Source organism: Homo sapiens, chromosome 10, assembly GCF_000001405.40.
Source record: "Homo sapiens chromosome 10, GRCh38.p14 Primary Assembly".
NCBI lineage: Eukaryota > Metazoa > Chordata > Mammalia > Primates > Hominidae > Homo > Homo sapiens.
Window position 1 is genome coordinate 102,296,333 of NC_000010.11, and position 25,873 is coordinate 102,322,205.

The window sequence follows — 25,873 nt, forward strand, 5'->3', positions numbered from 1 at the left end:
TAGAATATAGGTTTGAGATTTGTCTTCTCTCTTTTTGTAAGATGATAGGGATAAGAGATTCAGCCTTAAACTTCTGGTAGAAATCCAGGTCTAAGGATAGTTATATTTCTTTGAATGATAAAGAATTGTAGGCCAGACGCGGTGGCTCACGCCTGTAATCTCAGCACTTTGGGAGGCCAAGGCGGGTAGATCATGAGGTCAGGAGTTCAAGACCAGCCTGGCCAAGATGGTGAAACCCCATCTCTACTAAAAAGACAAAATTAGCCGGGCTTAGTGGCGGATGCCTGTAATCCCAGCTACTCAGGAGACTGAGGCAGATAATTGCTTGAACCCGGGAGGTGGAGGTTGCAGTGAGCTGAGATCGTGCCACTGCACTCCAGCCTAGGCGACAGAGTGAGACTCTGTCTCAAAAAAAAAAAAAAGAATTGTAGGCCAGGCACAGTGGCTCACACCTGTAATTCCAGCACTTTGGGCAGCCAAGGTGGGCGGATCACTTGAGGCTAGAAGTTCAAGATCAAGCTGGCCAATTTAGTGAAATCCCGTCTCTACTAAAAATACAAAAATTAGCTGGACCTGGTGGCGCGTGCCTATAATTCCAGCTACTTGGGAGGCTGAGGCACAAGGATCGTTTGAACCCGGGAGGCAGAGGTTGCAGTGAGCCTACGTCGCACTACTGTACTCCAGCCTGAGCAACAGAGCGAGACTGTCTCAAAAAAAAAAAAAGGAAAAAAAAGGTAATTGTAGCATTTAAGCAAGTTATAAGCATAAGACTTAAGATGAGGCAGGACTGGAAAAATGAACCCCTTGGTTCTATTTGGTCCCCAAGTGACATTTCACTGCCACTAAAAATTGCTGCTGTGTGTGGGCTTTAACATTTATTTTTAAAATTTAATTCTTTTCTCTAAGTCCAGAGCACTAAGCAAGCAGCATAGATGTACAGACTTGCCAGCTATTGGGGATGTGTTGCTAAGTAGCTGTGACAGCCTTCGTTAGATGCTTTGCTGTACAGTTATCACTAGACTTTGCTCCCAGGTCTAATTGGGAAATAAGGATTCAGGCAGTTTTGTTTTATGTATGTTTTGTTAGCATGCTTAATTTAAAAGCCTAATAAACCTGAGCTGACTTTTGAAAAACCATTTCTGTACTAGCAAAGATTCACATAGCAAACATCAGTTGAGGAGAGATTACTAGAAAGCACCAGAAGAAATTAGAATGACTCTTGTAGATAGATTTGAATAGTCTTTCTACTATTCCAGCTTATTCTCTTCTTTTTTACCTTCTTATACTACTCCTGTTTGTTTATATATTTTTCCACTCAGACCAAATGGAAGCAGAAGGGAAAGAAATGATCTTATTGAATTCCTTTGGACATAGAATTTGAGTCCTTCTGGACCTTTTCATAACCCCTTTGAAGTATACTCTGTTTTCCTAAAGAACTTGAAAATTTTATAAACCAATCACTCATCAAGTAGTATAAAACTCAGGCCTTTTATAGAATTTTTTTCCTTTCATAGGTAAAAAGTTGTTAGAACAAATACCACTTTGAAATTGATGCAGGTACCTGGAATGAAAGAGTTGAAACTAGTAGTTTTGTTTTTGGTTTTTGGTTTTGGTTTTTTTGAGACAGAGTCTAGCTCTGTTACCCAGGCTGGAGTGCAGTGGTGCAATCTCAGCTCACTGCAACCTCCGCCTCCTGGTTTCAAGTGATTCTCCTGCCTCAGCCTCCCGAGTAGCTGGGATTACAGGCGCCCACCACCACGCCCAGCTAATTTTTGTATTTTTAGTAGAGACGGGGTTTCACTGTGTTAGCCAGGCCAGTCTTGAACTCCTGACCTCGTGATCCCCCCGCCTCAGCCTCCCAAAGTGCTGAGATTACAAGCATGAGCCACCATGCCCGGCCGAAACTAATAGTTTTAAAAATGTATTCTAGATGTCGACTAGTAAAGGCTTTGCTGTTATCTATACCTAGGTAATGTTCTAGACTAGATGACAAGTCGAGTCCACACCTGAGTGTTGATTTTGACTTTAAAAAATTAAATAGAAAGTTAAAGCTATTGGCTAAAATTGTGAGTTTATCTCTATATTTGTAGATCCAGTCACACAGTTTAGCATCATATTATATCATGACATTAGTTCTACTTTTAGAAAAGTGTATCTTTTAGCTAGAATATGTGCTCTTTGTAGTCAGGGACCATGCCTTCTAAATCTTTCAGAGATTAATAAATACTCGTATATTTCGTAAGCATTTTGGCCTCTCTTTTTGTCTCTACTCAATATAGGTGGTAATAATACTCTGTATCAGGAACTTTGTATGTATCATCTCATTGAGTTCCCCCAAGGATATTTCAAGGTAATATTATCCCCATTGTATAGAAGAGGAAACAGAGGTTCCAAAAAGTGAAGAACTTGTGTAAGGTCACATACTTAGTAAGTCACAGAAGTGGGACTGTAAACCTAGGCCTGTTTCACTGATTATACCTCCTACTCTTACCTCTACATCAAGATCCCTTGAGAGCTTTGGAATTGTCACTAGAAGTCTTGACTATTCTCATCCTCATTTTTGGTAAATATGAAACTCATTTGTTCTGTTGTTCTAGAAAAGCTCTTAATGTTTAAATCAGGATCATGGACTACTATCCCCCTCTTCTAAGAGCTTAGATTAATAGGGGCAGTATAACATAGTGGTTAAGAGTGTATATAGGTTCTAAAGCCATGCAGACTGGCTTTGAATACTGGCCTCACCTTGATGACCTTGGGCAGGTTGCATAACCTTGCTGTACTTTAAGTGCCTTATGAGGCACTTACCATAAAATGAGGATGGTATGGAATACTACTCAGCAATAAGAAAGAACTATTGATACATGCAATAACCTAGGTGGATCTCAAAGTCATTCTGCTGAGTGAATGATTCCAGTTACATAGCATTCTGGAAAAGGCAAAACTGTGGTGACCAGGAACAAGCATGATTGCCAGGGGTTGGTGGTGGGGAAAGCGTGTGACTACCATGGGGTAGTATGAGGTGATTTTTGAGGAGATGAAACTGTTCTGTATCCTCATTGTGGTAGTGGTTACATGAGTTAGTACATGTGTTAAAACTCATAGATAATACGCTTCCCCAAGGAATCCATTTACTATACATTAATTTGTTAAAAAAATAAATGTAAAAAGGGCCAGGCGCAGTGGCTCATGCCTGTAATCCCAGCACTTTGGGACGCAGAGGCGGGTGGATTACCTGAGTTCAGGAGTTCGAGACCAGCCTGACCAACATGGAGAAACCCCGTCTCTACTAAAAATACAAAATTAGCAGGGCATGGTGGCACATGCCTGTAATCCCAGCTACTTGGGAGGCTGAGGCAGGAGAATCGCTTGAACCCGGGAGGTGGAGGGGTTGTGGTGAGCCAAGATCACGCTGTTGCACTCCAGCCTGGGCAACAAAAGCGAAACTCCGTCCCAAAAAAATTAAAAAATAAATGTAAAAAATGGGGCAGTAACAAAACCTACACATACCTGTGTACTACCTACTATACAGTACATAACTATATACTAAATTATTTTTATTATTGTTATTTTATCATTGTTATTAAAAGTATGATATTAAATATGGTGACATTCATTTAAAGTAGGATAGAATAAACTTTCACACCATCTGCATGGGTATGGTCAGTAAATGTGAGAAAAATGAGTAACTGTTGAGTCAGGTGGAGTATGTTTTCACATGATTTGGCAGGGGATCTGAGGTTTTCTGGACAGTGGAGGATTAGGCCTAGTATTTCTGGAGTATCTTGCAACTGACTTCTTGTCTGGCTGCATATACAGTTCCCTTGATAGTATTCTTCAACAAAATAGCTTTGGTCTTAGAAGCCACAGCTCTTTTCACTGGCTTCAGATTAGATCTGAAATTTGGACTGAGCAAACTGGTCAAAGAAGGAGCTGGAAGTGGTTCTTATACTTGGAAGATGGTAGCTGTTCTGTATAACAGCTGTAGCTTCCAGAGGCATTTCTTCCTGCCAGCCATAGTCTCTGGATTAGACAGTGATAGCAGTAGGGCAAGCATTATTCAACAGCTAAAAAAAAAGTTAAGGTCGCAGTGGCATTGTAGTTACACTAGCAGTGAAAAAGAGGTTCTAAAGTGAAACCATGACCTTTCCATCAAGTGGGGTGGTGCTTTTGTAGAGGAACTCACAACCTGAATCAAAACAAGTTAAATAAATGGTAAAAAGGATTCTGACCTTAGAATGCTTGCTATGTTAGTTGGCACTTACTGGTCTGTATATTCATTTTTACCTAATGACGCCAGAATTCAGGAAGCAGGGGGGAAAGGGGAATGTTTGTGGTTCCTGGTACAGGGCATTGGTTTAGCAGTGACTTAACTTTTCCTAATTTCTTTACAACAGTGACACTAAATTTCAAGCAAAGCTCCGTCGTCATTCAGTTTGCTTCTTTTATAGCTTGTTGTACATATGTGACTAAGTTATTGATTGCTGTTGAGGAACATCACTCTTTTGTGGCTTTGAGGAGACAATGCCAAATTGACTAGCCTATTGTTTTATTTTGGTTTTGTGTTTTAGTTCTCGTTAATTATGCTAAGAGTAGTTTGTTAGGACAGTGGTTTAAAATATATAAGAGAATCAGTATTTTCTTTTCTTTTTTTTTTTTTTTTAAGTATTTATTGATCATTCTTGGGTGTTTCTCGCAGAGGGGGATTTGGCAGGGTCACAGGACAATAGTGGAGGGAAGGTCAGCAAATAAACAAGTGAACAGAGGTCTCTGGTTTTCCTAGGCAGAGGACCCTGTGGCCTTCCGCAGTGTTTGTGTCCCTGGGTACTTGAGATTAGGGAGTGGTGATGACTCTTAATGAGCATGCTGCCTTCAAGCATCTGTTTAACAAAGCACATCTTGCACCACCCTTAATCCATTTAACCCTGAGTGGACACAGCACATGTTTCAGAGAGCACGGGGTTGGGGGTAAGGTTATAGATTAACAGCATCCCAAGGCAGAAGAATTTTTCTTAGTACAGAACAAAGTGGAGTCTCCTGTGTCTACTTCTTTCTACACAGACACAGCAACAATCTGATTTCTCTATCTTTTCCCCACATTTCCCCCTTTTCTATTCGACAAAACCGCCATCGTCATCATGACCCGTTCTCAGTGAGCTGTTGGGTACACCTCCCAGACGGGGCGGCTGCCGGGCGGAGGGGCTCCTCACTTCTCAGACTGGGCAGCTGCCGGGCGGAGGGGCTCCTCACTTCTCAGACGGGGCGGCCGGGCAGAGACGCTCCTCACCTCCCAGACGGGGTCGCGGCCGGGCAGAGGCGCTCCTCACATCCCAGATGGGGCGGCGGGGCAGAGGCGCTCCCCACATCTCAGACGATGGGCGGCTGGGCAGAGACGCTCCTCACTTCCTAGACGGGATGGCGGCCGGGAAGAGGCGCTCCTCACTTCCCAGACTGGGCAGCTGGGCAGAGGGGCTCCTCACATCCCAGACGATGGGCGGCCAGGCAGAGACGCTCCTCACTTCCCAGAAGGGGTGGCGGCCGGGCAGAGGCTGCAATCTCGGCACTTTGGGAGGCCAAGGCAGGCGGCTGGGAGGTGGAGGTTGTAGCGAGCCGAGATCACGCCACTGCACTCCAGCCTGGGCAACATTGAGCATTGAGTGAACGAGACTCCCTCTGCAATCCCGGCACCTCGGGAGGCCGAGGCTGGCAGATCACTCGCGGTTAGGAGCTGGAGACCAGCCCGGCCAACACAGCGAAACCCCGTCTCCACCAAAAAAATAGAAAAACCAGTCAGGCGTGGCGGCGCGCGCCTGCAATCCCAGGCACTTGGCAGGCTGAGGCAGGAGAATCAGGCAGGGAGGTTGCAGTGAGCCGAGATGGCGGGAGTACAGTCCAGCTTCGGCTTGGCATCAGAGGGAGACTGTGGAAAGGGAGAGGGAAAGGGGAGAGGGGAGAGGTTAGTATTTTCAAAAATCATCATATAGTACGTGGTTACACAACTCTGAATATACTAAAACACATTGAATTGTATACTTTAAAGGAGTGAACTATATCTCAATATATAAGGGGTGAGTTATAGCTCAATAAAGCTGTTAACAACAAAACAAAAATGCCATACCAAAAAAAAAATCATCATACTGATCTGTGACCTTCCAATGGAAGGAATTAAACTAAACTTTTCAAAATGGGGCTACTGGCCCTTAGGCAAGGTCCTGAGATTATCCTAAAATTATGGATTTAGAGTATTTAATGACTTTTCTGAAGAATTCTTAGAATTCATCTACTAAGCAAATAACCATTCATGTAGTTATGATGTAGTCATTGTCAATTTTTACAAGGGAGGAGGATAAGGATCATCACTAAGACTAAAACAATGATTCTGAACTGGGTGATTTTGCCCCCCAGAGAAAGTCTGGCAATATCTGGAGACATTTTTGATTGTCATATCTCAGGCATGCTACTGGTATCTAGTGGATCAAAGCCAGGAGGGATGCTGGTAAACATCCTACAATGCATAGGACAGCCCCCATGATGAAGAATTACGTGGCCCAAACTGTCGTTAGTGCCAAGGTTGAGAAACTCTGGTACAAAATGTACATCTATGTTTTCTTTCAAGAGTTTTAGCTTTTACATTTAGATCTTTGATCCATTTTAAGCTTTTTTTTTTTTTTTTTTGGAGACAGAGTCTCACTCTGTTGCCCAGGCTGGAGTGCAGTGGTACGATGTCAACTCACTGCAACCTCCGCCTCCTGGGTTCAAGTGATTCTCCTGCCTCCACCTCCCAAGTAGCTGGGATTACAGGTGCATGCCACCACACCCAGCTAATTTTTGTATTTTAGGTAGAGATGGGGTTTCACCATGTTGGCCAGGCTGGTCTCAAACTCCTGACCTCAAGTGATCCACCCACCTCGGCCTCCCAAAGTGCTGGGATTACAGGCGTGAGCCACCATGACCAGCTTTAATTTTTGTATATGATATGAGGTAGGGGTCCAGTTCATTGTTTTACATGTGGGTATCGAGTTGTCCCAGCAACATTTGTTGAAAAGGCTATTCCCCATTGCATGGTCTTGGCATCCTTGTCAAAATCAATTGACCATAAATGGCCCTGGTGTAAAATGGCTAATGTCTGTACCTATTTCTCCTAGAAAAAGCCTTACACAGCCTCCCTGAGGTCTTAGAAAATCTTGATGACTTTCTACTGCTATGGCTGCCTAAAGAATAATTCAGGTTGTTTCCATATGAATACTGCTACACCTGAGTGAGAACAGGTTAAGGATTACAGTGTCTGTAAGCCTCCTGTCATATATTCAGGCAGCTCACACCACGCAGCTTCAGTTCTCCAGGCTAAGGCATGGCATTAAAATTGTGAAGGACTTCAAAAATTTAATCCGACTTTCTACCAAGTACTCTAAATTATCTCAAATATTATTGTTGTTTTATGATAAATCTCAATATACAAAGCAGGTACCCTCTCAGTACTTACTTTTTCAAAAATTTCCTTAGCTATTCTTATCTGAATGTTTTAAATACATTATTTTGTTTAATTATCAAGCCGAGGAGGTAGGGTTGTGCTATTTTCTTTGTCATTTTACAGATGCAGAAACTGAGGCTTAGAGAAGTTTATTTGCTATGGTCATACCAGGACTGGGATTTTAATCTAGTTTTTTTTTTACTCCAAAGGCATTGCCTTTAGAGAGCACATAATGAATTATATGTGAAGTCTCCATCTTCACATATAATTAAGTTCTTCTAATAGGAATAAAATAACTGCAAAAATATATCCAAACAGAAAAATGGTACATAAGGTTTAAGCTTAAGCCAATATATACTTAAGGGGAAAATCTAAACTATATTTAAGATTCATTGGCCTTTTATAATCTATATTCTGACTTAGAAAGGGGATATGGACCGTTCTTTGAATACTTACTTGTTTTATAGCTAAAGAGGTCCTCACAGTCATGGGCCACATCGTATGTAATTTTGAAAACATTACAACATGCAAAGACTTCGAATGCCGTATGTGGTTCTGGTTGCAGCATCTAAGAAAGATATATATATTTTTTAAATCTGAGAAAATTTTGGAGTGGTAAAATAAAATACTTTCCAGTCTTAGAATATTAGGATTTAGGAACATAATCTTCAAGGTGAAATTAGGTAAAAGGGGCCGGGCATGGTGGCTCATGCCTGTAATTCTAGCACTTTGGGAAGCCAGGGTAGGTGGATCACTGAGATCAGGAGTTAAAGACCAGCCTGGCCAACACAGTGAAACCCCATCTCTACTAAAAATACAAAAAAATTAGCCAGGTGCGGTGGCACACGCCAGTAATCTTGCTACTAGGGAGGCTGAGGCAGGAGAATTGCTTGAACCTGGGAGGTGGAGGTTGCAGTGAGCTGAGATTGTGCTACTCCACTCCAGCCTGGGCAACAGAGTGAGACTTCATCTCAAAAAAAAAAGAAAGAAAGAAAGAAAGAAATTAGGTAAAAGGAAAAGTTCTTCCTTATGTAGTAGTAAGTAAATTTTTAAAATTTTATACAAGCCGGGTGTGGTGGTGCAAGCCTGTAGTCCCAGCTACTCAGAAGCCTGAGACAGGAGGATCGTTTGAGCTCAGGAGTTCAAGACCAGCCTGGGCAACATAGCAAGACGCACATCTCTTAAAAAAAAAGAAAGAAAGAAAGAAAGAAAGAAAGAAAAAGAATAAAAAATTAGCTGGGTGTGGTGGTTCATACCAAAATAAAAATTTTATGTAAAACATTGGTTCCAGAAGGATTGAGATCAGGCATTCTGATCTGGGATCCAGCAATGGGCTTCAGGAGATTAATGAACCTTCTGAAATTATATGCAGATTTGTGTGTGTGTGTGTGTGTGTGTGTGTGTGTGTGTGTGTGTGTGTACTTGATCACCTCAGTGAAATAATATTAAGAGGTGAAATAATATTAAGAGGTACCACTGTACTTCTAATTCTGGACAAATCTTTCTCCTAGCTATAGAAATTGGAGTCCTGGCCAGGTGCAGTGGCTCATCCCTGTGATCCCAGCACTTTGGGAGGCCAAGACAGGCAGATCACTTGAGGTCAGCAGTTCAAGACTAGCCTGGCCAACCTAGTGAAACCCCATAGTGAAAAATACAAAAATTAGCTGGGTATGATGGCACGTGCCTGTAGTCCCAGCTACTTGGGAGGCTGAGGCAGGAGAATCACTTGAACCCAGGAGGCACAGGTTGAAGTGAGCCAAGATCATGCCACTGCACTCCAGGCTGGGCAACAGAGCAAGACTCCATCTCCAAAAAAAAAAGAAAAAAGAAATTGGAGTCCTTTCACTGTGTTTCTTTTGAGACGGAGTTCCGTTCTTGTCGCCCAGGCTGGAGTGCCATGACGCAAGACTCTGTCTCCAAAAAAAGAAAAAAGAAAAAAAGAAATAAATTCGAGTCCTTTCATTGTGTTTCTCTCCTAAAGAGTCATTTCAATAAATTTGTATTGAATATCTTTTGTATGCCAGACACTTGTGGGTGCTTTGTGTAATACAAACATGATCACTTTAAATGAGTGTGAAGTACTGTTCTGGGCAGGTGAAGGGTAAAAGGAGAGCATCCCTCTCAAAATGATGGAAATAGGATGATAGGTTTGGGGGAGAGCAGGGATCTCCAGAGGGAGAGAATGATGAATAGGTAGGTTGGATTCATGTTGTGGATGCCCTTAAATACCAACTGAGCAAGGTTACTATATATATATACAATTAAAGGATACCTAAGAAGAAGCCTGAAGACTTGAGATATAGACTGGGCTTTATCATAATTAGCTGTGTTACCCTTAGGTAAGTGATTTTACCTCTCTTGACCTCAGCTGCACTACTCAAACACACACATAAACACAAATGAGACGGGAAATGAGCTGGGTGTCTGTTTCCTTACAGCTCTAAATTCTGTTATTCCCCTTAATTCAGTTTTAATAGAAGTGGGAAATCATTCATTGAAGGTTTCTGAGCATGGGAGTTCTCTTCAACAGAATTACTGCTGTTTCACTACCTGGTTGCTCTATTTATTAATGCTCTTTCTTCCACCCTTATGTGATTGCTCTGGGAGGGACTGTCTCTTTATTTGTTTTTTTGTTTTTTTGAGATGGAGTTCTGCTCTTGTCGCCCAGGCTGGAGTGCAATGGCGCAATCTTGGATCACTGCACCCTCTGCCTCCCAGGTTCAAGCGATTCTCTGGCCTCAGCCTCCCGAGTAGCTGGGATTACAGGCGCCTGACACCAAGCCTGGCTTATTTTTGTATTTTTAGTAGAGACGGGGTTTTGCCATGTTGGCCAGGTTGGTCTTGATCTCCTGACTGCAGGTGATCTGCCCACCTGGGCCTCCCAAAGTGCTGGGATTACAGGCGTGAGCCACCGCACCCAGCCGGGGCTGTCTCTTTAGATAGTTACTGATGTGGCCAAGGAATTGGCCATTATTATTAGCTTATATTATTGAGAACATGGGGATGGTCAGGTATCTATTCTTGAATTAGATCTGAAGCTGGTCTTGTTTCCTCATGTTATCAGTCACTGACCTGTGAACTGATCCATGTGTCCACAATGTGGGCAGCAGGTAAGTGCTGACATTTTGATGGCCACATCATATTTCAGGGATCTATGAGAAGGTCTGTAATGACCATGGAAAGCCAGCCAAGAATCTCCTTGCCATGGACAAATGGGAGAAGTTACTAAATTTAGCGGACATTAAGCTGTAAATTATTTGAAAGGTGGAAAAGGATTCTATTCAGAGACTATCCAGAATTTCCATTTACTAATCAGGCCTTGTGCTGTAGAGGCTTTCATCCCAGGAAAAGTATTGCTTTCTCTCTTCCTCTTTCCCCACACTTTTGTTCCTGTTATAGTGGGAGGATGATTTTCAGCTCTTACTATAACATGGACTTCAGTGCATGTTGCTATTAGATGCCAAGAGCCTCAGGATGATAAAATCTGAGGATTCTGATTCTGATTCTGCTATTTAAAAATTAGAATATGAGCTGAGTTTGAATTTTTTAACTACAGAATGATAGAGACATATATGAAATACAGTACATTTTTGCTTTTTGAAAGGAATTGTTATAGTGATGTTCACAAATCACCAACCTTGGCAAAAAAAAAAAAAAAAGGTCCCTGTGAGAACCGGTGTAAATCAATAAGAAAAAAGCAGATTTCCCAGCTGGGCACAGTGGCTCACGCCTGTAATCCCAGCACTTTGGGAGGCCAAGGCAGGCGGATCACAAGGTCAGGAGATTGAGACCATCCTGGCTAACACAGGGAAACCCCATCTCTACTAAAAATACAAAAAAATTAGCCGGGCGTGGTGGCGGGTGCCTATAGTCCCAGCTGCCGGGGAGGCTGAGGCAGCAGAATGGCGTGAACCCGGGAGGCAGAGTTGCAACGAGCCGAGATCGCGCCATTGCACTCCAGCCTGACTGAGTGACAGAGCAAGACGCCGTCTCAAAAAAAACAAAAAAAACAAAAAATCAGATTTCCCAGTAGGAAAATGGGAGAAAGACTTGAACAGACATTCACAATAGAGGATACCTAAATAATCAGTAAACATAAGAAAAGGTGCTCAACTTCATTAGTCATTAGGGAACTTCAAAACCACCATAGAATACTACTACACATAGAGCAAAATAGCAAAAATGAAAAAGATACACAATATCAAGTGATAGCAAGGATGTGGAGTAACTCAGACTTTCATACCCTAAGGGTAAATAGGGTAAATTGGAAAGCTGGCTGCATCTACAAGAGCTGATTTGCCAGCAATTACATTTCTAAGAATATGCCCAGCAGGTAATCATATATATGTTCACCAAAAGATGTTTATGAGAATGTTTATAGCAGTGTTGTTCACAGAAGCTAAAAAAAAAAAAAAAAAAGAGGAAACTGCCCAAATCTCCATCAGAAATAAAATGGATAAGTAAAATGTGAAAATTCTCATAGTGGAATACTATAAATAAATGAGAATTAGTAAACTACAATATCTTACAACACAGATGACTTTCTCCAGCATAATATTGAGTGAAAGAAGCCAATCCATACCCAAAAGACTATAAATCATGCTGCTATAAAGACACACGCACACGTATGTTTATTGCGGCACTATTCCCAATAGCAAAGACTTGGAACCAACCCAAGTGTCCAACAGTGATAGACCGGATTAAGAAAATGTGGCACATATACACCATGGAATACTATGCAGCCATAAAAAATGATGAGTTCATGTCCTTTGTAGGGACATGGATGAAATTGGAAATCATCATTCTCAGTAAACTATCGCAAGGACAAAAAACCAAACACCACATGTTCTCACTCATAGGTGGGAATTGAACAATGAGAACACATGGACACAGGAAGGGGAACATCACACTCTGGGGACTGTTGTGGGGTAGGGGGAGGGGGGAGGGATAGCATTAGGAGATACACCTAATGCTAAATGATGAGTTAATGGGTGCAGCACACCAGCATGGCACATGTATACATATGTAACTAACCTGCACATTGTGCACATGTACCCTAAAACTTAAAGTATAATAATAATAAAATTAAAAAAAAAAAGAAGCCAAACCAAAGGAGCTTCTACTTCATGATGCCATTTATGTAAAGTTCAGGCAGAGAAAATCAGTGGTTTAAGAAGTTAGAATAATGATTATCTTTGGAGGGATTGCAACTGGAAGAAGTCATGATTGGGATTTCTGGGTCCTAATAGTGCTCTGTGTCTTGATCTGAGTGCCGACTACATGAGTGGTTAGGTTTGCAAAATTCATTGAGTTATGCACTTAATGGTGTTGTCTTATTAGAGCTGATGGAGGAGAGAGGGCTTCAATTTGCACAACTGAGTAATCAGCTAGGCCCAGTCACTAGGTGAACAACTTACTGCTACCAATCAGCCTTAGAGCAGGAATCAAACTCATGTCTCAGAAAAGTTATTAATTACAGCTTGTCTTGGGACTTCCTTCAGAGTCACTCTTGAATAGCTGAAATAGTAAATGTTAAATCTGTGGATGCAAGTGTGTAAATTATTTTAGTCATCAGCTCTAATAAGATGGCCTTTGGGGAAATGAGTATAAGGTCACGAAAATGAAATGGCAAGAAGGAGGTCTACTATTTCTTCTGTAATACTGATTTTTACCCCATCAGGGTCAGTCCCCAGAGGTTGTAAATGTGAAGCTTGTTCTTTTTCTTTAGTAAGCTGAGTTTGTGGCTTTTTAAAGCTTTGCTTCACTGTTCTCATTTGTAAGTGAGATATTGCTTGTTCACCTCCCATAGCTGATGAGGAGATTCTTGTGCACTGTATTTGTTGAGATAAGGCTGGTTTGGGGTTTTGTTTTCATCTTTGTTTTTTAGTTAAATCATAACCTAGTTATGATTTTTGTGTGTCCTTGTTTATGGATCTGGAATTTAATTCATTATTAGTTGTAGAATGAAAGGTAAGATTTTGTTTTACTCTTCTCCTGAATTTTCTCCCCATTCTAGATCTGTTGGCATAAAATTTTAACCAGAAGCTAATTTAGTGATGCTGAGTTAGTCCTAGAAATTAGTTTCAATTCTAGTGTTAATATAGTCTGGGTTTCTAAGTTGTAGAAAAATCTCATTTTTTGGTTCTTGGTTTTCATTTGTATAATTTAGGGAAAATACAACCAACTGTATTTTAAACATATATAGTCCTCATCTTTTCTGTTGGGCTTGAAGAGTTGTACTGGGTATTATGGAACTGGAAAGAAGCCATGTGGATAGTTACGGTATTTAGGTGGATTTGTTGTTGGTAGAAGTGGTGAATTGGAAAAGTGATAGGGTACATATGTTTCGCCTTCAAGGCAAGTCTATTCTTACTGTTTGATGTCAGAGTAAAAAGTGTCAGTAGCTGAAAAAGACAAAAGAATCTTGACAGAGTGGGAAAAGTCGTGCCTCATGTTCTATTGATCAAAAGGAGGTTATATTTTCAAACTAGCTTCCTAAGATGAAATTGAAGCTGTACATGTGCCCTACTTATCCTTGTTTTTCCTGATTTTGGTTTTTCAGATTATTCCTATTAAACATGATATGCTGATTAGCACTGAATATTTTAGGTCTGCTACGCCTGTATTAGTTGAGATTCCTCTTAATTTGTGTTAGATCTCTGTTAGGTCATTTCTACTGCTGGCATTCCCTAGACTAGAGGCCTGCACGCACATTTGTATTCTAATGAGTATAAGCACTAGGTGTTTTTCTTGGCACTAAGAAAACCTTGCAGCATCATTAACCTAGGAGAGATTTGGGGTTTACACATTAACTATGGGAGGTTGATCAGTTTGTGGCCTATACACCAAGACTGTTCTTTATCACCCCCAAGCCACATTTGAGCAGGGATTGAGGAAGGGGTTGATTTTTCTGTTTATTAGAGGTGACATGAGCAGTGGGGCAGCGGCAAAGAGGCCATGTTGCTCTTGCTAAATATACATCCCTGACAGTTGGATAATAGGTTCCAGGAAGTTCAGTGGAAAATTAAAACAAAGCAACATTTATAGCTGATTGAACTTGAAAAGCCATTTTGGTGTTGAATGGCAAATATGTGGACTTCAGCATTCCTGGAGCCTGATGCATCCCGCTGGATGGCCCTGTTCCTGTGTACATGATGGCCTGGGGACTCAGCAGTGTGCAGGGTACTCTCCTTTAGAGGGTGCTTTGAGGAAAGAAGTTTGCTGCCACTTACAGAAGTCCCCTTCCCATACAGTGATATAACACAAGTACCCCATGTCCAGGGAGCATCTTTCCTCTGATGGCTTGAGGACTTATTTATTAAAAGGACAGGAATGTCTGGCAAGAAACAGAGGAGCTCTTAAGTACTGTAAATACTCCTAGTCACTCTGCATCAGGGCTGCAAGTTTAAGCAGATTGCTGTGGTGTATACACATGATTTTAGCATGATAACACTTCTGTTTAATGTCCTTAGTTGTTCTGGGGCCACCACTGGCGTGAGCCTTAAGAAAGGCTAACGCGGCTGTGAAGAAAGGGCTTTATAGTCTGTGTGTGGAGTGGTTAATTTTCTTAGAACTAAAAGAGAAGCTGCAGGGGATGGGAAGGGAAAATGAAGTCATGGTACAGGAAATATAGGTGAAGAGAGAATTGAGCCATTTGCAAGTATCAAGAAAAGTTGCTACACATTCCCATCTTTTTCTCCAGGATGATCTTACGCTATTGCTTCTATGTGTTTGTCTTTTGAGAAGCAAGGCCAGGGTGTCTGATGGGAACTTACGAACCTTGGTTTGCTAAGGGTGATGAGAAAACCTCTGTCATTTGACCCTGTCAGTCCCTTGGTGACTTCATCCAAACCAGCTTGGCTGTCAGGAAAATATGAATTGTGGCTATGGGCCTAATTTCTTCTGTTCCCACTCAAATGAACTGCCTTTGCTAGCTGTAGAATCAACTATTCCTATGCCCCATGAATTTCCCCAAAGTTGAACTACTCCAGTGGAACTGAGGGTTTATTGGTTCCCTACCATTTCAGGGCATTTCCCCAGCAAATAAGAGTCTTTCATCCCTTGTGTTTTAACTGAAAAACAGAGACCCAGCCATAACAATTCCCTCAGCTCCTCCTTTACTTAATGAAGAGCTTGAGTAGGCCCCACTTTTAAATATCTCTTCTATAAGTATGGTGCACTGTTCACAAACTTAGAAAATGTTAAATCTCGCCGGGCGTGGTAGCTCACGCCTGTAATCCCAGCACTTTGGGAGGTCAAGGCAGGAGGATCACCTGAGGTCAGGAGTTTGAGACCAGCCTGACCAGCATGGAGAAACCCTGTCTCTACTAAAAATACAAAATTAGCTGGGCGTGGTGGCGCATGCCTGTAATCCCATCTATTCAATGGAGGCCGAGGCGGGAGAATGGCTTGAACCTCGGGGGTGGAGGTTGCGGTGAGCTGAGATCTTACCATTGCACTCCAGCCTGGGCAACAAGAGCGTAACTCTGTCTCAGAAAAAAAAAAAAAAAGAAAGAAAATGTTAAATCTCTCTCTGCCCTACTCTGCTGTGGGGTTGAGGAACAATCCACTTAATGGGTCTCTTCTCTTTTGCTTAGCTGTAGCCACGGCAGCTCTATGTGTAGGTTGGTTGGCAAGCATTTATAAACTTTGGATAACCTGGCACCCAGCCCTTGGTTCACTTATTTTAATGCTACTAAAGTTTAGTTTTCAATTCAATAATCTTTGTTGGTAGGGCGTAACTATTCTAGTTAGCAATTCCATCCGTTGTAAGGGAATGCTGACAGCTGACCTGCTGTCGTCTATGCAGGTTAAAAGATCTTAGTTAAAAGATCTTAGTTGGAGTAAGCCTATACTTTTGGTGTTCCCAGACTATGAAACTGCTGCAGGTAGAAACAACTGTTTGTTTTGGTTTCTTCAGCAGATAGAGCTTTGCCCATGAGACACTGCTCCTGGTGTTTGCCTCGGGTACCTGTAAAGTCACTGAGGAAGAAACAGATCTTCCAGTGAATTGAGCTTAATTGTGGTCTGTTGCTTTCTCTGTCTGTGTCTCATACTGGCATCATGAGTTTCCTTTCTGAGTCAGTTAAATCTGAGCTGTGCCTTGTCCTGTGGAAATCTGAGGCTTGGCTAGGCTCATCTTGATGGTCTCCAAATGGTGAAATTGGGGCTAAGGTGTGTGGAAATGCACACCTTAGCCCTGTGTGCAGGGCTGTGGTGTCTTATAGATACAGTACTTTCTAGTGAGTGCTCACTTAGGCAGGGCCAAGAAAGTAGTTCTGAATGGGAACTCCAGAGGCCTAATCCAGATATAGCATATTATAGGTGCTAATGAAGAGGAATTGTGCTGCTGAGCAAAGGAAAGCTTTTGTGACTTGAAAGCACGTTCTGTGTATCATGGAGGCTGGGTTATTTTCCCAGCTTTAGGCGAGTGGCACTAACTACAAGTTTCATGTTCTTCTGAGTACACATGAGTCGGTACTGCAGTCAGTATACTTCTTTTCCTGAAATAAGAAAGTGATTTACGAGGTGTGGGCCCTTACGTGAAAGAAAACAAAACCAGCCGCTCTGTGGGCCTGTAAAATTCCTGTGCCATCTCAGTGGTGTGGGTTACAGGAGGAGAAGATGGAGAGGGCTAGCTGGCCCTCCCTTGCTGGGGCTCAGCTGCCCCAAATACTTGTGATATTGCAGGTTATTTATGAGCTCGTCTGGACTGGGATTCACTGCCCCACACCCTGGTAGGTGAAGATTTGCAGGCAGAATGTAGAAGCCCTCATTAATCTTCCTGGTCTTGTTGAGGATTTCTTGTCGGCCTGAGCTCCTGTTGGAGAATGAACTGGCTTTTCCACTGAACTACAATGGCTCAGATTAATATTAATCCCCTTAATGCTGCAGTTCATGATATAGTCATTAGGTGACTTGGAACTAATCCTGTCCACCTAACTAGTGTGATTTATTAAATACACATGGAGATCGAGTCTGAATACAGCTAGGCAGAATCAGCAGCAAATAAATACCTCTGTGTATCTGTATTAATGCTGGTTGATTGGGACACAATTGCAGGCTGGGCTAGGGAGAAACAAGGGCCAAAAGGAGGCTGAGCTCTCTTAATCAACAGTATTTTCCCACCTCTACCCTTTAATTTAGATGGCAGAAACTATTAAACTCTTGGTAACAGTTTTAGGAGCAGTGATGAGAGCGTATGTCAGGAACAGGGATTATAAGTAATCCAGTTCTGTGCATGTAAAGTCAAAGAAGAGAAAAAAAGAAACCATATATGCATTTGAAAAAATGTAAAGACATAAGCTCAAACTAAGGAAGAAGAAATCCTTTAAACATATCTTTTTTTTTTTTTTTTTTTCTGGAGTCAGGATTACGCTCTTTTGCCCAGGCTGGAGTGCAGTGGTGTGAAAATGGCTCACTGCAGCCTCAACCTCCTGGGCTCAAGTGATCCTCCTGTCTCAGCCTCCCAACTAGCGGGACCATAGGTGCACACCACCACACCTGGCTAATTTTTAATTTTTTTTGTAGAGACAGGGATCTTCCTATGTTGTCCAGGCTGGTCTTGAACTCCTGGGCTCAAGCAGTCCTCCCGCCTAGGCCTCCCAAAATGCTGGGATTACAGGTATGAGCCACCGCACCCAGCAACCTGTCAATTATTTGAGTGACTTTTCCTCCTATACTTTCTTCCTTTAAGTTTTAAGAGTAACGGTTCAAATGGAGCTTTCTCTACAATTTAACTTCCTTAGCTTCCTTTAAATTCTTTATCAGTAGACACCCTAGGCCAGGCAATGATCTCACTGTTCTATTACTTCTCCTGGCTTCAAGGCTTGAATTTTTCTTTTTGAAATGGGTAAGGAGATGGAGTAGCCATGCCTGCCATATAACAGTTCTCTTCTCTGAGATCCTTGCCCAAGTTAGCAGAAGCATAATTTCTTTGGTAAATAATTGATGTTTATCGTTTCCCTTTCTCAAACCTCCTTTTCTTCCCCTTCTTTGCTCTTTCAGCAGAGATGGCATTAATATGAAAAACATCTACCTAGCTGGCTTCATTTAATCAGGCAAGTCTGACATTTGTGAAACCTCTCATTAACATTTTCCCCAAAGAGCACAAAATGGCCTCCCCTCCAAATACAGCCACCTCAAAGTTTAGGCTTCTTTCCATCACCATTGGCAGGCTGTTCTCAGAGATGTTACTTCTCTAAACTCACACTCCTGGCCAACAGCCACTGGTCACATATGGGGGGACCTTCTGTTCAGGTGCTGCCCTATTCCTTGTAAACATCGCTTATTACCAATTTTCCTGGAAATAACAAGAAATCTTTGATAGGAATACTGGAGTATAGGTTTCTTCAGTACTTACATAGGACCTTTCTCCACCAATTCAGAAACATCAGTTGAAGACTACTATGTTCATGGTCCTCTACTTCAGGGGGTCCCCAACCCCCTGGCCACGGACCCGTTAGGAACTGGGCCGCACAGCAGGAGGTAAGTGGTGGGCGAGCAAGCATTACTGCCTGAGCTCTGCCTCCTGTCAGTTAAGCTGCAGCATTAGATTCTCATAGGAGTGTGAACCCTATTGTGAACTGCACACATGAGGGATCTAGGTTACGTGCTCCTTATGAGAATGTAACTAACACTGTAGAACATCGGTTCCCCAACCTTTTCAGCACCAGGGACTGGTTTCATGGCAGACCATTTTTCCACAGACAGTGGGGCTGGAGGGCAAGGGAGGTGTTTGGGATGAAAGTGTTCGACCTCAGCTCATCAGGCATTAGATTCTCATAAGGAGCACCAACCTAGATCCCTCACATCCCTCACATGTGCAGTTCACAATAGGGTTTGTGCTCCTATGAAAATCTAATGTCGTCGCTAATCTGACAGGAGGCAGAGTTTAGGTGGTAATGCTCACTCGCCCGCTGCTCACCTCCTTCTGTGTGGCCTGGTTCCTAATGGGCCACAGACTGGTAGTGGTCCATGGCCTTGGGGTTGGGGACCCCTGCTGTAGGTAACAGAAAAGCAAAGAAGCCTTGTCCCTTTCTGCTTTCCAGGAGCTTGCAGACTACAATTTAGCAATTCCATAAACCAGAATATGCTATACTAAAGCAACAGAACTCTATAGAAGTTCTAAGAAGGAAGAAATTAATTCTGATAGCAGACTATATAATACTAATACTAGTAATAGTACTAATATAGTACTATTAGTGCTATATCCTCTTACCAATTCATATCAGGATGAGGACAGTAGTCTCTGTCATTTACCTTTCTGTTTTCCTTCCCTCCACTTTTTTTTTTTTTTTTTTTTGAGATGGAGTCTCACTCTGTCGCCCAAGCTGGAGTGCAGTGGTGCAATATCAGCTCACTGCAACCTCTGCCTCCTGGGTTCAAGCGATTCTCCTGCCTCAGCCTCCCATGTAGCTGGGATTACAAGCGTGTGCCACCACACCTGGCTAATTTTTGTATTTTTAGTAGAGATGGGATTTCACCGTCTTGGCCAGGCTGGTCTTGAACTTCTGACCTCAGGTGATCCGCCCGCCTTAGCCTCCCAAAGCGCTGGGATTTACAGGCATGAGCCACCACGCTCGGCCTTCCCTCTACTTTTTGACCTGTCTAGTTTTTGACTGAGTACAGTTTAAGTAAGGACATGGATTGCTTATACTTCTTGGTAATTTTAGTAGTCCTCTTCCTCTTACCTGTTCTCCATCTCATCACAATATTAGTGTCTTTTTAACAAGCATTAGGAACAGAACCACCATTTAGGTCTTCAGTGAGTCACAGATATAAAACTGTGCCACAGTTAACGAGTAGAATACTTGGCATGCCTGACAATCAGAAATCATAGTCATTGAATTTCTGAGCCATATGGCCATTTCCAGTCCTATCCTTTTAGATAGATAGACAGATAGACCAACTGATAAAATAAGACCCAGAAAATTTGAAGTTTGGCTGTGGTCATAAAAGCTAGTGTAGTCTATAGTCTGTAAGCAAGACTTTGGATTATTCTTCTTTGTATATCCAATGGCTAGCAGTGCCAGGCCCACAGAAGGTACAAAATAATATTCACTGAAGGAGAGGATGAGGGATTTGAATGCAGGAAGGCCAGTATTGTTTCAGTAATCCTATAAATGCCATTTTAAATAATTATTTTAAATTCCCTAATAATGGGAGATTATGCTAAACATCATTTTTAGCTATTCATGAACAACAAAGCAGTGCTCATATTAAGTTTTGGGAAGTGAGTTTTACTAAAACTTAGTAATAATAGTCTTCAGACTCTGTGATTTAGGCTGCCCAGTGCCCCCTTTTTTTTTCTAACTGGCTTTTAAAAAATAACATTTAGTAGTAATATAAGCCAGGCACAGTGGCATGTGTTGGTAGTCCCAGCTACTCCAGAGGCTGAGATGGGAGAATCGCTTAGCCCAGAAGTCCAAGTCTAGCCTGGGCAACATAGTGAGACCCTGTATCTAAAAAATAATAATAGCCCATGTCTACATAGACTATTATATAAATTTAGGAAGATACAAAAAAGTTTAAAGATGCTGGGCATGGTGGCTCATGCCTGTAATCCCAGCAGTTTGGGAGGCCAAGGTGGGTGGATCACCTGAGGTCAGGAGTTCGAGACCAACCTGGCCAACGTGGAGAAACCCCATCTTTACTAAAAATACAAAATTAGCCAGGCATGGTGGCACATGCCTGTAATCCTAGCTACTTGAGAAGGCTGAGGCAGGAGAATCGCTTGAACCCAGGAGGCGGAGGTTGCTGTGGCCAAAATCACGTCATTGCACTCCAGCCTGGGCGACAAGAGCAAGACTACATCTTTAAAAAAATAAAAAAGTTTAAAGAGATGGAAACAAGAACCTCCATAGTCCAATCACCTAAAGATAACTATTATTTTATCTTTTTTTAGCGCACGCAAACACAATATCACCCTTAGCAAAATGGGAATCATATTCTATACATTTTTGCCTCTTCTTTTATCATGTTATGGGCATTGTCCCACATCATTACACATTAGAAAATAAGATCTAATGATATTATTCATTGTATGAATGTTACAGAATTTATTTAAGAGCTTCCTGTTGTTGGTTATTTATTTATTTATTTTTATTTATTTATTTATTTATTTTGAGACGGAGTCTCGCCCTGTCACCCAGGCTGGAGTGCAGTGGTGTGATCTCAGCTCACTACAAGCTCTGCCTCCCGGGTTCACGCCATTCTCCTGCCTCAGCCTCCCAAATAGCTGGGACTACAGGCGCCTGCCACCACGCCTGGCTAATTTTTTGTATTTTTAGTAGAGACAAGGTTTCACCGTGGTCTCGATCTCCTGACCTTGTGATCCGCCCGGCCTCGGCCTCCCAAAGTGCTGGGATTACAGGTGTGAGCCACCATGCCCAGTCTATTTATTTATTTTAAGATAGTGTCTCACTTTGTTGCCTAGGCTAGAAGGCAGTGGTGTGGCTCACTGCACCCTCAACCTCCTGGGCTCAAGTGATTCTCCTGCCTTAGCCCCCCAAGTAGCTGGGACTACAGGTGCGCATCATCACACCCGGCTAATTTTTGTAATTTTTTTTTGTAGAGATGGGGTTTCGCCATGTTGCCAAGGCTGGTCTTGAACTCCTGGGCTCAAGCGATCCACCTACCTTGGCCTCCCAAAGTGCTGGGATTACAGGCATGAGCACCGTGCCCAGTGGTTATTTAGATTATTCCCAGTTTTTCAATATTATAAGCAATGTGGTATAAATATCTTGGTACACGATTTTTTGCTTATCACTCTTAAGGATCCTTATAATAAATTCCTTCTATTATTTTTATTTCTCTTTAGGTAATACATGTACATAGTTTTAAAAAGTCAAATTGTGCTGCAAAGTCCAACTTCCCCCCCTTCAAGGTCCCCTCCCTAAACTCTTTTAGCTGTTTATTCAGTTGTTTTCTTTTCTATTTCTAAATAATATGTTGATACTACATTTTTAAATAGGATTTTTACATTTTAAGCATTATCTATTGACTTCCTACTCCTACATGTAGATATAGCACATTTGCAATACTCACCACCCCATTCTCCTTTCCTCCATCCTCCCAATATAATTATCACCCCATTTGGTTAAACCAGTACTCATTCTTTACCTTATTAAGACCTTATAGCTGGGCACAGTGGCTCATGCCTGTAATCCCAGCATTTTGGGAAGCCAAGACAGGAGGATCTGTTGAGGCCAGAAGTTCAAGACTAGCCTGGGTAGGCTGGGCGCAGTGGCTCATGCCTGTAATCCCAGCACTTTGGGAGGCTAAGGCAGATGGATCACGAGGTCAGGAGATCGTGACTATCCTGGCTAACATGGTGAAACCCCGTCTCTACTAAAAATACAAAACAAAATTAGCCGGGCGTGGTGGCAGGTGCCTGTAGTCCCAGCTACTCGAGAGGCTAAGGCAGGAGAATGGCATGAACCCGGGAGGCGGAGCTTGCAGTGAGCCGAGATCGCGCCACTGCACTCCAGCCTGGGTGACAGAGTGAGACTCCGTCTCAACAACAACAACAACAAAAGGCTAGCCTGGGTAACATAGCAGGACTCCTGTCTCTAAAAAAAAAGATCTTTAGTATTATTCATTTGAATTCATTATTCAAGTTTTCCCTTCCTTTTGAAAATATGCTGTTTTCTGTTACTATTACTGTTTCTTCTCAAATTCTACAAGTTTTAAAAACTGAATATTATTTTTCCACGTGGTCAAACACACAGCTCTTCTCTTCCATTTTTATCTCTTCCTAGAAACTCCTTCTCAGAGCCTCCCATCCTCTTCTTCTATTCTGTATTGGTTACTGTCTAGACCTCAGGCACAGCTGTCCTTCTGGAACTTCCCTTCAGTTTTCTCTAGATCTCCTTTTTCTTGTTTATGCTATGTCCATTTCTTTCTTTTTTCTTTTTCTTTTTCTTTCTTTTTTTTTTTTTTTTTGAGACAGAGTTTCACTCATGTCGCCCAGGCTGGAGTGCAGTGATGTGATCTCGGCTCACTGCAACCTCCGCCTCCCAAGTTCAAGCAATTTTCCTGCCTCTGCCTCCTGAGTAGCTGGGATTACAGGTGCCTGCCACCACGCCCAACTAATTTTTATATTTTTAGTAGAGATGGGGTTTCACCATATTGGCCAGGTTGATCTCAAACTCCTGACCTAAGGTGATGTGCCTCTGCCTTCCAAAGTGCTGGGATTACAGGCGTGAACCACTGCACCTGGCCCATTTCTTTCTTGATTTACTGTCTCACATTGGTTTTTTATTTTTTATTTTTTACGTCATCCAGTAGCTTCTAGGAAAGGACACCTGGGGATGTATGGTTTTTTTAGACATTGCTTATCTGAAGCTATCTTTTTATTCTATACTGACACTAATTGAAGGTTTTACCGGATATAGAATTCTAGTTTGGAAATAGTTTTCCTTCGAAACTTGATGGCTCTGCTTCTTTTTCTTCTCATTTCCAGTGTTGATCTTGAGTAGTCTGATGCCATATTGAATCTCAGTCCTTTATATTTAAACTGGAGTTCTTACAATTTCTTTATCCTCATTATTCTGAAACACTTGGTGTGGGTCTCTTTTAGTTATTCTGCTAGGTTCTTAGTAAGGGTCTTTTTGATCTGCAAAATTATATCATTTGATTTTGGGAAATGATCTTATATTAGTTCCTCAATAATTTCCCCTTTTCCCCCTTCTCCATTTTTTCTGTTTTCTCAATTAGTCCCCCTGTTTTCTGTTCCATGTCTCACCTTCTACCTGGTGCCTCCTTCCAGAGCTTGTTTCTTATTGGTACTTCCTTCTAAAGCAACTTGCTCTTCAGCCTTTTCTGCTCTGCTTATATTTCCTTTTCTTCTGCTAAGAATCTGTTAATGAATCTATGCTTGATTTTAGCTGAAAGGCTGAGAAGCAATCTGTTAATGAATCTCAGACAGTTTTCTTTTCACCTCAAGATCATTTTATTCTACTTATTATATATTTTAGTTTTTATTTTTAATTCTTTTTTTTTTTAAATGGAGTCTGACTCTGTCGCCCAGACTGGAGTGCAGTGGTGCAGTCTCGGAGTCTCGGCTCACTACAACCTCCACCTCCTAGATTCAAGTGATTCTCAAGCGTCAGCCTCCCGAGTAGCTGGGATTACAGGTGTGCACCACCACGCCCGGCTAGTTTTTGTATTTTTAGTAGAGATGGGGTTTCACCATGTTGGCCAAGCTGGTCTCAAACTCCTGACCTCAAGTGATCCACCCACCTTGGCCTCCCGAAGTGCTGGGATTACAGGCATAAGCCACGGTGCCCAGCCTATATTTAATTCTTAACCACTCTGAACACCTTGTATTTCTTCATAACACTTACAATTAGTGTTAAAATCATAACTTATAATTAGTCACAATTATAATTAGTTAATTGTGTGATCCCTTGCCTAATGTCTTTCCCACTACACAGGAAACTCCATGAGGACAAGGATTGTGTTGCATTGTTCACCATCATATATCTATTATCTAGCCTGGTGACTGGCACAAAGTTGGCACTCATAAATATTTAATAAGTGTATTAATTTGCATCTTTCTTTAATCAATATAATTTATTCTGTCAAGTGGACTGAAATAGGAATTTAACTTTTCCCACCTAACATCCCATTTATTGAATGCTCTTTATCATATATCATATACTACATATTGTCCTACCTATTCTTTTGCCAATAGTATACTGATTTATTTGTTGTAGTATTATAAGACATTTTAAAATGATACTGCAGACTTCCTGAAATTAGTTTTTTGTTTGTTTTTGTTTTGAGACGGAGTCTCGCTCTACTACCCAGGCTGGAGTATAATGGCACGATCTCAGCTCACTGCAACCTCCACCTCCTGGGCTCAAGCAATATTCCTGTCTCAGCCTCCCGAGTAGCTGGGACCACAGGTGTGTGCCACCACACCTGGCTAATTTTTTGTAGAGACGGGGTTTCGCCATGTTGCCCAAGCTGGCCTTAAACTCCTGAACTCAAGTGATCTGCCCACCTTGGCCTCCCAAAGTGCCAGGATTACAGGTGTGAGTGAGCCACTGCACCCAGCCTGTTTGTTTTTGAGACAGGGTCTTGCTCTGTCACCCAGGCTGGAGTACAGTGGTGCAGTCACAGCTCACTCTAGCCTCAACCTCCTGGGCTGAAGCAATCCTCCCAGCTCAGCCTCCAGAGTAGTTGGGACTACAGGCCTGCAACACCACGCCCAGGTAATTTTTTGTATTTTTTGTAGAGACAGGGTTTCACCATGTTGGCCAAGCTGGTCTTGAACTCCTGGGCTTAAGCAATCCACCCACCTCGGCTTCCCACAGTGCTGGGATTACAGGCGCAAGCCAAGCCACCATGCCTGGCCTCATTAGTTGTTTGAAAAAATATTCTGGCTATCTTCATCTG

The 25,873-nt window shown here is 42.2% G+C and overlaps 1 protein-coding gene across 37 annotated transcripts in view, besides 1 other annotated feature; it reads left to right on the plus strand.

Annotated features, from left to right (window-relative positions):
• The window catches only part of GBF1 (golgi brefeldin A resistant guanine nucleotide exchange factor 1), a 152,254-nt gene that overhangs the window by 65,690 nt on the left and 60,691 nt on the right, over window positions 1–25,873 (plus strand). The gene's annotated exons all lie outside the window — the stretch shown is intronic.
• Window positions 9,740–10,034: a silencer, noted in NCBI's record as "tiled region #15234; HepG2 Repressive non-DNase unmatched - State 15:Elon". NCBI's record gives its function as "represses a minimal TATA promoter and a strong SV40 promoter by Sharpr-MPRA in HepG2 cells {active_cell/tissue: HepG2}" and the evidence as "EXISTENCE:reporter gene assay evidence [ECO:0000049][PMID:27701403]".